Raw genomic sequence first — 14,562 nt, 5'->3', positions numbered from 1 at the left:
TGAATAAATCCTAAATGGCCATCATTTTAAAGCAGACATCTAATAAGCATCCATGTTATAAACAATTGTTTTGACTTTTTAGCTAGAAATATTTATAGATTTATAAGACATTGCAAAGATAGTACAGAGAGAGCCTATGTACCCTTCATGAGGTTTCTACAAATTTTACATTTTATATGATTATATCAAAACCAGGGAACTGACATTGGCGCAATATGTATATATAGTTCTACGTTACTTTATCAGGTATAGATTCTTGTAACCACCACTGCAATCAGGACACAAAAGGATTGTAAATAATTTAACTTATTTTCTTAGATAATAAAATACATTACAGTTTCAGGTAGAAGGTTCTAGAATACATATTCTATTTAATGATACTTAATTATTGAAAATTATTAATACCTAAAAGTATCTTAGAAAACTCTACATATAAAGGCCAAAGTGAAATTCTAGCAGTACAGACACGGTACACTTCAGTTAAACTCATTTCCCTGCACAGATCAGACAACCCCATCATTCAACAATCAGCTCTCCCCAGCTAAGAGAACACACACTTTTTTTAGCACACAGTTTATCAAAGACAAGTTGCTGATAATTCTACTACTCTAAAACTGTTTACCAGTAGAAGTCCAAGACACATACACACAGACACACCCCATCTTTCTCAAGCAGAACAGAGCACTTCACGAGTGTCCTTAAGTCTCTAATGAGGTTACCATAACAAAAGATACAATAATAAATATAGGCAAAGAAACAATGAAATAAGCCAGACAGATTCTCCTAAGCCAAACCTAATGTGGAGTTTCTTACTTTCCCTAACAAGAAAATATAAACCAAATTGTTGCAAACTCCACGTTTGAGTGAGCTCAGAGCAAAGGAGAAATATTTAATCTCTCCTTCTTCCTTCCTCCTGATCTCTCTCTCTCTCTTTCACACACACACACACACACACACACACACAAAAAAAAAAAAAAAAAAAAAACACCCCTAAACATCAATCTTACCTTAGCCATCTGTGCCTGCACGCCATTTGCCTTGAGAGATGCTACCGCTTTCTGTGCGGCTGCAGGACTGTCAAAATCTACAAAACCATAACCTGTGAAAACACAAAATCCCCTTGTTAATATTCACAAAAAGCTGAATCTCTATCTTCACTGATGAAGTACAAGTTTACAGATAGACTTGCATTCATTTCTTCTGACATATTACCCTGGTTGAACATTAGGCTCTTAGATTAGTGGTCCTTAATGCTTTGGGAGAGATAACATCATAATGTCTCTAGACATAAAATAGTAACTCTTATTTTCTAGCCATTGTTTTGGAGATTGGGTGTAGAATCAGTAACCCAATTTAACCTAATTTGGTGAGTAAGATAATAGACTGTTTAACCGTGTTCTTTCTTCATGGATTATGGCAAAAGTGAGGTACACAAAGTGCTGGAAAATATAGAAAATTCTCTCCCTAAAGTTAATTTTCAAAACCTCAAATATTGATGTTAACAAAAACCATGATAAGAACTCGCAAAAGGTTATCAGCAACTGCAGTAGTGCTTGGCACACAGTAGGCATTCAATAAATACATGTTGACTTCATGAATAAGTAAATATTGTGGATGAGAGGGTTTAAAACCTAGTTCCATTTGATTACTAAGCCCATGCTCTTCCATTATCTTGTCTATCTCAATGATAGCATCTTAAATTATTTTGACTCGTACAGATCTGTGAAAAAGAATGATTAAATACATAAATATTCATGTTTCTTTTAAAAATAAGAAATACTATGTTGCTTATTTGTTTCTAGTGTACAGTCTGAAAAGGGTATATGAGTTTCCTATGCTATTCTGATTGTGTGCTTGTGTGGATGTCTATATATGGTGAAAGCAAAGAAATAGTAAAACGGCATCAATGAAAAGTCCATTTTGTATGTCCTTAAGCTAGCTAATAGTCCAAGGCTTAGCCTAACAGTAATGTTAACTGCCAAGAATATTTTGAAATATAAATGCTCAAGAGTGAGTATAAGGACAGCTTTGTTTGGCATGCTTAACAAGCTCACCATATGTATCCTATACTTCTTCTCATCTGTCAGGCAGGGAATCATCTGTATTCTTATACTTATCTCATTTAGAAGTTTTGAGGTGAGCCACTGAAGCAAACCTACTAACCTACTAAGGAGGTGTACTGTGACACCTCCTCTCACCCCAAAATAACCAAAGAAGAGTGCAAGGGAATCCAATTACGAAGTTGTTTCTTTTAATTAACTTTTTAATTTTTTCCCCTCGAATCTCGTCTTCTTTTTCTCCCTCCCAGCATGTTATCGTAAAATGAACTTGTTACACAGCAGTGTACTGTAAAATGCTCTTGAAAAGCTGGGCAGAGAAGCTGTGAAGTTTGTATTTCTAATCCAAAAGGAAGCCTGTTCTGTAAGTACTGCTAATTCTTCTCTCCCTACAAAATCAAACTAAATGGGTAATGTAAGTATTACTACCCAGTAAGATGAGTAAGATAGAAAAAAAAAGTGGAAGTAATAGTCAAGAAATAGGGTCAAGGGGAGAAGAAAGCAAAACTATAATCTGGATGTCATCTCTCACATGTCGGTTGCTGTGCTAGGTAGTTGACACATTGGCACTTGGTGAAGTCATAATAACATCAGGTACTACTGGCTTCGTGCCATTATACACATGAAGAAACTGAGGTTAGGGTAAGGTGATCCAACTTGACAAGAATCACAAGCCACTCATTGAGCAGATCCAGGATTTGAAGTAAAGTCTGCATGTGTCCTTTCAAATACACCATACCATGAATTGCTTTATATCCCTACGTTGTAAACTATGCTAGTAGCCTCTGAAGCCCATCAGAGAAAGGACTCAATTCTTGAAAATTCCTTAAATGGCATGGAATAAAACAATTCCATATAAGATAATTTAATTGAGCTCATTTAATCGTACATTTGTCAATGGAGCAGTTGATGAGTTAAGATGAGATTGACATGGGAACCACCTTGTACCTTACACGTTGGCCAATCTTCCTCATCCGTTCATCGGCTTATTTATTCATTCAATAATAAAGTTCTATTTCAGGCACTGCACTAAGCAAAGGGTATATAGTGGTGGGAGAAAACCTCAGTTCCCATGCATGCAACTAATAGTTGAGTTGGGAGATGGATAAGAACAAATAACCATACAAATGAATATATAATTACAAAATTGCAGATCTTCCTTGAAAGTAAATGACAGCATATAATATAGATTTTAATTTTTGATTGTTCACTATTGAAAGTTTTAAAGAAGCAGTGGTGTGAAATGATCTGCATTTTTAAATTGAGATTGCAATGTTGCGGGGGAGCTGGGAAGCTAGAATGGGATCAGGAGATGACTTAGGGGCTATTGCAACATTCCAGAGGAAAGGCAGCTGGCAATGAAATAGGGTGAAATGGATGCTTTGAGTTATATTTTGGAGGCAGAATTAACAGGGCTTTGTAAATGGATTGACTGAACTGGAAAGAAGGAAGACATAAAGACATAGACAAGGATTACCACTGGTTTTGTTTGTTTGGTTGGTTTTGTTTTTGCCATAAGCCACTGGGTGAGTGGATATGTAATTTATTGAAATGGGAAGACTCAAGGAAGAACCAGCAGGGGAGAAGGAAAATCTAATTATTGGTCTGAGACATGTTGAGTCAGAAATGCCCGAGACATCTAAATAGAAATGTCAAATCGCAGCTGGATATATTAGTTTGGTGCTCAGAAATGGAGATGAAATTGGAAATATAGGAGGACAACAGCACAAAGATATAGATGTTATTAATAGGAAATAGTCAAAAATGCCCAGAGTAAGTATAAAAGAAATAGGTCCAGGATTAGAACTCAAACAACTTCAGCATTTAGGCATTACATAAGAAGAAAAGACTGCAAAGAAAGCTGGAGAGTCAGAGAGGAAGAAGGAAATGAAAAGGGAATCAGATGTCTCAAATCCAAGGTAAGAAAGTATTCTGAGGAGGGAGAGATCAATTATGTGAAATGCTACTGAGAGTTTGAGCAAGAAGATAGCTTCAAGATGCCCAGTGTCTTTAGAAACATGATGTCACTATCATGATTTGCTTTAGGCAAGTGATGGGGATTGAAGTCTGCTGGAGTAGTTGAAGAGTATGAGCAAGATGAGGAGGAGGATTTACAGGCCTCTTTGCAGTTATCTTGGCTGGGAAGAAGAATTAAGAAACAGATTTAGCTAGCAGGGGATCTAAGGTCAACTGAGTTGTTTCTGTTTGTTTGCTTTAAGATAGGAGATGCTATGGTTGTCTGTGTGTGTGTGTGTGTCTATTTCCCACCTGATTCCAGTGTGAAGCTAGGGTAGGAAACTGCTGAGTATTCATGTAAATTATTCAACAAATCATTATTGACCACTTTCTACAGGACAGATACTGTTCTTGGCATTTTTGAATGTTGAATATTGATAGGAAAGATCAAGCAGAAAATAGATTAAAACTACAGGAGGACAAGTGGATAATTTATAGAATAACATTCCTGAGAGAGTAGAAGGGTGGGCGTATCTAGAAACTTCATGAAAGTGTTGCCCTTCGCCAGACAAGGATCCTCCCCTTCACCCATTGTACCTGGAAGAAAAAAGAGCACTCTCCATTACCAGGTGTTGTTTCATTGTATTACCCCAGGTACTGGGACTGTACCTAACATCTAGCCTATGCTTAATAAATATTTGTGAAAATAAATGGAAAGCACGTTTAAAAAATGTTAACTTACTTCATGGAATTATGATGGGGATTAACTGATAAAAGTGTCTATTAATACTGTTGGGCTATAAAGAACACATAATGCTAAGTGGTCATGGTTCTGTTTCAGCCATGCTGCCACCCAGCAGGCAGCCTCTTATTTTATGGCTCCCACCCTTTAGTCTAGCGTGCCTTCTCTCTGGCTTCTTCTCCTCCTTTCCACCCCCACATGGTACACAGGATATTACAAAATCAAGATGTTGACCTCCAGGACTAAACTTCAATCTGAACGGAGGACATTTCTGTGAGGGTAGGAGACACCCTGAGAGTTCTCTGAATCAGGGATGTTCTGGCTAAACTTTGAAAAAAGCGTACTTATAAAGAGTCATTCTGCCAGCGAGGAGAGAGAGGTTGGCCCTTTTGTACAAAATATCTGTATTGATGGTTCCAAGCCAAGGGGGATAAAGGCTTCATAAATAAAATTAAAAATAGGGGATAAGCTACCAAATCAGAAATATCTCACCAAATTATGTGTTTTTCATATATACACACTTTCACTAGTTACAATAGAAGTTTATGTAAAAATGTCTCAAGTAACCCTGAAAAATACTCCCATTCTAGAAATAAACATTGCATTACTGAGTTTTACATGACAGCAGATACTACATCACAATCAGAAGAAAGCAAAATGAAATAGGAGACTGCCCCTAAAGAATAATGATGGATTTAGCAAGGAATAAAGCCACTTTAATTTGCTTTCAATTTGTTTTCCTTAATGACAAATAATCAAGTCTGGGAACAGCAACCTCTGTACCTACATCTGGTGAGGAGAAGGGTAAGGGAGATTAGTTCAGCTTCAGCTAATAATGCTTTCCGGTAACTGCTAAAATCCTCAACACAACACTGGCAAATGCTAACCATCAGAAACTCTGGCCCAAGTGGCTGTAAGCCCACCCGTCTCACTCTCTCAATTACATAATTAAGCTTGGCAGCAGGTTCAAATGAATTAAAACTGAATGTCACTGTTTTCTCCACACACTCCTGTCCTTGTTTTTCTTCCTTGTCAGGGGGAGAAGGCCAGCAGTTCTGCAATTAGCGGGAAGTAGAGCAATGAGAAAGAACCAGCTCTGTGATAATTAGGTCATTTGCCAAATACACTCATTCCATTGGCAGATATAATCAATGCTTTCCTGAAATGTTTTAAACCCTGTGTGTTAATTTAAAGTTTTGCTATTTTTATTGCACTACAAGCCTGGTGACTGTAGAGAAAAAACTGTATGTATGTGTGTGTGTATCTATCTATCTATCTATCTATCTATCTATCTATCTATCTATCTATAATGGAATTCTACAAAGAATAGTAGTGTCCAGATGGTTCTTATTTGTTTCCTTTAGTGCATTTGCTGGCAACATCTTCCCTGAGACCTTTGCCATTCAGTTGAACCACTGCGTGACAATCCATTTGAAATTTCATTAAATGTTTCTTTACCATCTTCAAAAGCTTATTTTATACTTCTGTGTTGCTGTGGGCTCCTTAAGTTCTCTATTTAAACTGCTTATTTATTTACCAACATTGGGATTGTTCTTTATGTGTGTGTGTTGGGGTGTATTGGGGGAAAGTAATGATAAAACTAGAACTCCTGCTTTAGATTTGCAGGGCCATCAACAGTGAGCCAAGGAGACTTGCTCTCAGAGTGTAACTGCACACTAAATTTCACATTTGTATTGTTCCACCTCTTCAGAATGACTGTCATAAAATCTCGCTTGAAACACAGATGGCTTGGTGTAGCACCCAAATTCTTCCAAAGACAATCCAACCGTGAGTCAAATGTGATTTCTAAACAGAAAAAGCAAACATTTGGGCTAAGAATTATATATACATTCAGCTGAAATTCTACTTAAGTTTAACAGTTGAAGATGTTAACAATGAATCACCTTTCCATAAATCCTTCCCCACCTTCCATTTGGGCTTAGCAATACTCTGTGGCTGTTGTCTGGGCTCAGAATAGGATGACTGAGTTGCAGGGAGAGAGGGGTGGTTTGCAGGCTGCCTGGAAGTCTGATGGCACTTAGACTGCCTCCATACCTCTGTATTTCTGCTGTATTTCTACTGTATCCCTAAACTATTCAGTTATTGCTGACTATCTTTCCTTATTGGATTTCCTAGTTCTTTGCATTATGTGATCACAGAAGATAATGAAATAACAGCATTGATATATTTATTGCAACTTTTCTTTTAAAACAACAAGAAAACCTACTCATTTCTTCAGTATCTTCTTTTGTATCCATTTACTGTGAGTGATCATTATAGTAAAGCCGGGATACCACAGGGGAACCAATATGATAGCCATATGGTCTACCTTAGATTTGTGAAAAAATAAAGGCAAAAGATAGTTCCTGCTGAAAAGCAAAAGCCAGAGACAAAAGAGCTTACTGTGAGAAAAATTCTAAGCCATTATAGTCTGAATCACCTATGCTTTCAAATGTCTTAAAAATATAAAATGCAGGGAGTTGATACAGAAAAGAAGCCACATATGGACTGCCTGAACAGGGAGGGTTGCAGCCTCAGACACTTAGCAAACAGAGTAAAATAACATGGGTAACAATATCCACTATACAGAAAACAGGTTGCTCCACTGGAGTCCCCTCATATTCCAGTTTAATTGCCTAAGCATTCTGAAATTTGTGTGCCAGAAATACTAAAATAAGACATCAGCTTTTGGAACAAGAATTTGCCTATTATTAGTGACATTTTTGAACCACAATGAGATCTTCCTTTTATTATTATTATTATTATTATTATTATATTATTAAATTTACTAAGCATCTACTACATACAAGGAAGATAGTGCCAGATGCTGTAAGGAAAAAAAAACTCTAACATGGCTTTTCTTGACAAAGAGTTTATTGTCTAGTAGAGTTGATAAATAAATTTAAATGCAGTGGAGTTTATGTTTAAATGGCATATAGACACAGTTATCTTCATATTATTGAACTAATTTTATACCGTATAGTATGTATGGCTTAGGGTGTACAGCTCTGGTCAACAGAGCTGAACAACTGAGCCAGGTTCCATTCAGTAAGTGCCATGATGGTAAAATTATCCATATTCTAAATTTATGTATATATGTATGAATTAGTCTATCTTTCTGTCTCTCAGTTTGTTTGAAATTAAGTACAAGATATAGAGAGTAATCACTACCATATAAATTGTGGGAAAAAAGTGCTAGTATTTTAAAATGGCAACTGTTTCTTCCAGGTGGGGGAAAACTCAATATATTTTGCACACAAATGACAAAAATAAGGACTGGGGAAAAGGAATAGGTCCCCAATGGTATTTCCTAGCAGAATAAAACAATTACAAAGACAGACAAATTTAGAGAGCAAAGTATTTAGTAGTACGGCACTTGAAAATGGAACACTTTCTCATTCCATTTATGTTACACAAAAAATCTTATTAAACTAAACACAAATTCAAATCCCAAAACTCACTTTCCTCTTCATCATGTTCAATTGATTTTTAAATGAGAGAAATTGCTTCTTTATACTGAATAAAGTCAAAATGAGTATCAGAATCATTATTTATGGGCTTAGTGCAGTCACTATGCTTTATCGAGATTAAAGAAACTTACTGATTTGCCAAAGACCAACCATTATTTTATTATAATATTGCACAGATTAAGGAGCAGCGTACTTGGCAGTAAATGGGCAGATTAACCTCTGGGAACCATCTAGCAAAGCTTTGCTTTGCTAACATGCAGTGTTCAAATATACAAATAAAATATATGTCTTGTTTGAGCTGTTGGTCCTGTGTGTCTCTACCATCAAAACAGCAGGAGGTACAAGTGTGTAATGGTGACTGCATGAGCAAGCCCAACATATTAATAAAACAATTCCAACAAGTTTATAATTATGACAAAAGTGGGCTATGACTGAACACTTTAATTATAGCTCTAGAAACCCCAGCCCCAATTTAGGATAGGCAAACCTAACTAAAATTTCATTCCTGGCTGTCCCATTCTTCCCTCCCCCTTGCTCTAGACTTACAGATGGGTAGAACAATAGACTATTCCTCCATACAAGGAATAGAGGTAATGACCTCAGTGTATCAACTGGAGGACAAGCCCCCTACCTCTTCCCAGGTACTTTAATCCATATTCACACTCAATAGTTTCAGCAAATGGCCTGGGAAGCATGCTTGTACTCATCCCTACTTACTCTTCCCCACAACCGAAGCATCCTTCTTTTTACCACCTATTCATCTTTAGAGGATAGACCATTATAATAAAATTGGGCAACAACCCGGAAAGATACATGAAATAGTTCAGAGCAGAAAAGAAGAAAAGTGAATTCTACATATGGGGTAACCCCTTTAGGAAGCATGTATTGGCCGGGCGCGGTGGCTCACGCCTGTAATCCCAGCACTTTGGGAGGCCGAGGCGGGTGGATCATGAGGTCAGGAGATCGAGACCATCCTGGCTAACAAGGTGAAACCCCGTCTCTACTAAAAATACAAAAAATTAGCCGGGCGCGGTGGCGGGCGCCTGTAGTCCCAGCTACTCGGGAGGCTGAGGCAGGAGAATGGCGTGAACCCGGGAAGCGGAGCTTGCAGTGAGCCGAGATTGCGCCACTGCAGTCCGCAGTCCGACCTGGGCGACAGAGCGAGACTCCGTCTCAAAAAAAAAAAAAAAAAAAAAAGAAGCATGTATTACCTGTGATTCTTTGTTTTTGTCATACTGTACATTCTGTATATTCCCTCCGCCAACTTGTCACTTGATCTAAATTTCCTTATAGAGCCGTGTGTGCTTTTGCACACTAGCATTTTCCTGGGACAGGGTTCCATCCATGATTTCCCCCTTCAAAATCTTTGATAAAAGGTTCTATCTAACTACAATTGTGCACTTCCTAATTTATACTCATATTTGATTGAATATGCTCTTCAGTCACACATTTATAGGCCTTATTTCAAATATTTTAAATAAATATCCTCAAATACTGTCCCTGTCACTATGAGACACGGTGGATTCTACATCTTCTTATACTCCAGATTACTTTTCTCCATCCCACTTGACATATCAAATACAAGTTTAACTAAGTATTAGAGTTTTAAAAATAAAAAAAGCACTTATATGTATATATGCACAATCGAGAGTAACAAATGTACACGGTAAAAACAAAAACAAGCCAAACAAAACACAATTCAGTAAAACGTAATTTCCCTTACACCTAGACCTTGGTGCTTTAGTCTACCTTCAAAACAAACTGCTCTGTCATTCCTTCTGATGGTCCTACCTGGAAAGGCAACTAAAACTAACTCTCGAGCTCTCACTATTCTATGTATTAGGGACACCCAGAGGTTTATAGAGTTATAAAAGTATAGTTCCTGTTATCACAAATTATAAAATCAAAAACATTTGTAGTAAAGATTTTGTAAATGGCTCTCCAATTGTACACACATTCCTTTTCCTAAAATAAATAGTTGATAAAGGATAGAACAAAATGGCAGAATAGAAACCTACATAGTTTGTACCCCCAGCAGGAACACCAAATTTTAGCAACTATCTGCACACAGAAAAGCATCATCTCAAGGACCAAAACTCAGGTGAGCAATCCCAGTACCTAATTTTAACTTCATATCTTGAAAGAGACATTGAGGAGAACAGGAAAGACAGTCCTGAAGCATCAAAACCACCCCTCCAACACCACAGGTAGTGAGCCATGCAGCAAAGAGTCTGTGCATTTGAGGGAGGGAGAATACAGCAACTGGGGGACTTTACATTAAACTCAGTGCTGCCCTGCCACAGTGGAGAGCAAAGCTATACTGGGCTCAGCCAATGCCCACACACAGAGGGAGCATTTGGACCAGACCTAGCCAGAGAAGAATCATCCATCTCATCAGTTGATACCCAAGTTTCCTGGCAAGCCTTGCCATCACAGGCCAAAGTGCTCTGGGGACCTAGGTAAACTCTGAAAGGCAGTCAAGGGCACAGGGACTGCAACTCATATGCAACTCCTAGTGCTGGACTGGGCTCAGAGCCAGAGGACTAGGGTGGCATGGCATGAGACCTAGGGAGACACCAGCCGGGGCAGCTAAAGGAATGCTTGTGCCATCCCTCCCCCAGCCATAAGTAAGGCAGCTCACAGCAATGAAAGTGTCTCCTTCCTTCTGCCTAAGGGGCAGACAGCAAAGAGTAAAGAGGAGCCTTGTGTCTTGAATACCAGCTCAGCCGTGGTAGAATAGGGCATTGGGCAGAATACTAAGCCCCCTAATCTGGGCCCTAGCTCTCAGATGACATTTGTAGAAACACCCTGGGCCAAAAGGCAACCTGCTGCATTGAAGGGAAGGACCTAGTCCTGGAAGGATTCATAACCTGCTGACTAAAGAGCCATTGGGCCCTGAATAACCAGCAGCAAAACCCAGGTTGTTTGCTATGGGCCTTGGGCTCTGAGATGTAGAGGAAGGAAAAGTAAAGGAGACATTGTCTTGTGTCTTAGGTACCAGTTCAGCCACTGTGGCATAGAGCAAAAAGCAGGCTCTTAGGGTCACTAAGTCTAGGCCTAGGCTAGTAGACAGCATTTCTGGACCTGCCCTGGGCCAGAGGAGATCCAATTTCTCAGAAGGGTGAGTCTCAGGCTTGGCAGCATTTACCACAAGCTGACTGAAGAGTCACTGGGCTTTAAGGGAACATGGGCAGTGGCCTGGCAGAACCCCTCAATGGGCCAGTGGTGGCAGTGCCCACAGGGAGAGGCTCCTCTGCCTGTGGAAAGGGGAAGAGTGGAAAGAACTTTATATTGTGGACTGAGTGCCAGCTTAGCTGGAGTATAACAGAGCATCAGTCAAATTTTTAAGGTTTTTGACTACAATCCCTGGCTCCCAGACAGTATCTCTGGACCCACCTGGGGCCTGGGGAAACTTGCCATCCTGAAGGTAGGGACACAAACTTGGCTGGATTTTCCACCTGTAAATTGTAGAGGCCAAGGGTTTTTTGTAAACATAGGTGACAGCCAGGTAGTGGTTAGAGTGGGCCTTGGGCAAGACTCAGTGCTATGCAGGTTTCAGGTCTGATCCAGCAGTCACATTGATGGCAGCCACAGGAACCACACTGGGTCAATCCCAGTGCATCACCACACCTCCAGTTTCAGGTGACTCAGCGCAAAGACAGAGATTCCATTTGTTTGGGAGAAAGTAAAGGAAAAGGAGAAGAGTCTCTGCCTGGTAATCCAGAGAATTCTTCCAGATCTTACCCAAGACCACCAAGGTGGTACCTCTATGAGTCTGCAAAAACCACAGAAATATTGGGCTGAGGGCCTAAGTCCTTTCAAATACCTGGAAAGCCTTCTCAAGAAGGATGGGCACAAACAAGCCCAAACCATGAACACAACAATAAATACCTAACTCTTCAATGTCCAGACACCTATGAACACCTACAAGCATCAAAATCATCCAAGAAGACATGACCTGACCAAATGAATTAAATAATGCATGAAGGACTAATCCTGGAGAAACAGAGACATGTGACCTTTCACACAGAGTATTCAAAATAGCTGTTTGAGGAAATTTTAAAAAATTAAAGATAATACAGACAAAAAAGTTCAGAATTCTATCAGAAAAAATTAACAAAGAAACTGAAATAATTTAAAAGAATCAAGCAGAAATTCTAGAGTTTAAAAATGCAAATGACATACTGAAGAATGCATCAGAGTCACTCAATAGTAAAACTGATCAAGCAGAAGAATTAGTGAGCTTGAAGAAAGCCTATTTGAAAACACACAATCAGAGGGGACAAAAAAGAGTAGAAAGCAATGAAGCATGCTGACAAGATCTAGAAAGTAGTATCAAAAGGGCAAATATAAGAGTTATTTGCCTTAAAACATGAGGTAGAGAAAGAGTTATGTGTAGAAAGTTTATGCAAAGGGACAATATCAGAGAACTTCCCAAACCTAGAGAAGGGTACCAACATTCAAGCACAAGAAAGTTATAGAACACCAAGCAGGTTTAACCCAAAGAAGACTACCTCAAGGCATCTAATAATCAAACCTCCAAAAGTCAAGGATAAAGAAAGGATCCTAAAAGTAGTAAGAGGAAAAAAAGACAACATACAATGGAGCTGTAATACATCTGGTAACAGACTTTTCAGTAGAAACCTTACAGGCCAGGAGAGAGTGGCATGACATATTTAAAGTACTGAAAGAAAAAAAAAAAAACTTTTACCCTTGAATAGTATATCCGACAAAGATATCCTTCAAGTGTGAAAAAGAAATAAAGACCTTTCTAGATGAAAAAATAGCTGATGGATTTTATCAACACCAGACCTGCCTTATAAGAAATGCTAAAGGGTGTTCTTCAATCTGAAAGAAGAAGATGTTAGTGAGCAAGAAGAAATCATCTGAAGCTACAAAACTCACTGGTAATAGTAAATATGCAGAAAAACACAGAATTGTATAACACTATAATTGTGGTGTGTAAACTACTCTTAAGTGGAAAGACTAAATGATGAACCAATCAAAAACAATAACTACAATTGCATTTCAAGATACAGACAGTACAATAAGACATAAAGAGAAATAACAAAAAGTTAAAAAGCAGGGGATGAAGTTAAAGTGTAGGGTTTTTATTAATTTTCTTGTGTGTGTGTGTGTGTGTGTGTGTGTGTGTGTGTTTTCTTATGCAATCAGTGTTAAGTTTTCATCTGTTTAAAATAACAGGTTATAAGATAGTATTTGGAAGCCTCACTGTAACCTCAAATCAAAAAAACACACAATGGATACACAAAAAATAAAAAGCAAGAAATTAAATCATACCGTCAGAGAAAATCACATTCACTAAAAGGAAGACTGAAAGGAAGGTAAGAAGGAAGAGAAGACTACAAAACAACCAGAAAACAAATAGCAAAACGGAAAGAATAAGTCCCTGCCTATCAATAATAACATTGATTGTAAATGGACTCTCTAATCAAAAGACATAGAATGGCTAAATGGATGAAAAAATAAGATTCCATAATCTGTTGCCTACAAGAAACCCACGTCACGTATAAAGACCCACAGACTGAAAATAAAGGGATGGAAAAAAAAAGACATTCCATGACAATGAAAACCAAAAAACAGCAGGTGTATCTACACTTATATAAGAAAAAATGGATTTCAAGACAAAAACTGCAAGGAGAGACAAAGAACGTCCTTACATAATGATAAAGGGGTCAATCCAGCATAAGAACATAACAATTCTAAATATATGTGCACCCAACACTGGAGCACCCTGATATATAAAGCAAATATTATTAGAGCTAAAGAGAAAGGTAGACCTCAATACAATAATAGCTAAGACATCAATAATCCACTTTCAGCATTGGACAGATCTCCCAGATAGAAACTCAACAAAGAAACATCAGAGTTAATCTGCAGTATAGAAAATATGGACCTAATAGATATTTACAAAACATTTCATCCAGAGACAACAGAATACACAATTTTCTCCTCATCATGTGGATCATTCTCTAGGATAGATTATGTGTTAGGTCACAAAACAAACCTTAAAACATTTAAAAAATGGAAAAAATATCAAGTATCTTCTCTGACCACAGTGAAATAAAACTAGAAATCAACAAGAGGAATTTTGGAAACTATATGAACACAAGGAGATTAAACAATATGCTCCTGAATAACCAGTGGTTCAATAAAGATGTTAAGAAGAAAATTTAAACATTTCTTGAAACAAATGATAATGGAAACATAACATATCAAAACCTATGGAATACAGAAAAAGCAGTACTCAGAGGGAAGTTTATAGTTATAAGTGCCTACATCAAAAAATAAGAAAAAATTCAAATAAAGAACCTAA

The 14,562-nt window shown here is 38.0% G+C and overlaps 1 protein-coding gene across 12 annotated transcripts in view, besides 1 other annotated feature; it reads right to left on the bottom strand.

Moving 5' to 3' along the window:
* RBMS3 (RNA binding motif single stranded interacting protein 3) overlaps positions 1 to 14,562 on the bottom strand; it is a 729,325-nt gene that overhangs the window by 422,183 nt on the left and 292,580 nt on the right. For all 12 annotated transcript variants that reach the window (XM_005265061.3, XM_017006180.2, XM_017006179.2 and 9 more), the window contains exon 4: positions 1,008 to 1,099. In XM_005265061.3, coding sequence (XP_005265118.1) covers positions 1,008 to 1,099 — 92 coding nt within the window. The remainder of the gene's footprint in view (positions 1 to 1,007; positions 1,100 to 14,562) is intronic.
* Positions 10,880 to 11,381: an enhancer, noted in NCBI's record as "H3K27ac hESC enhancer chr3:29618323-29618824 (GRCh37/hg19 assembly coordinates)". NCBI's record gives its function as "activates a minimal SCP1, AML or CMV promoter by ChIP-STARR-seq in naive H9 embryonic stem cells {active_cell/tissue: H9 hESC(naive)}" and the evidence as "EXISTENCE:reporter gene assay evidence [ECO:0000049][PMID:30033119]".

The sequence above is a fragment of the Homo sapiens genome, chromosome 3 (genome assembly GCF_000001405.40).
Source record: "Homo sapiens chromosome 3, GRCh38.p14 Primary Assembly".
Taxonomy (NCBI): domain Eukaryota; kingdom Metazoa; phylum Chordata; class Mammalia; order Primates; family Hominidae; genus Homo; species Homo sapiens.
This window is presented reverse-complemented; position numbering and strand designations above follow the sequence as displayed.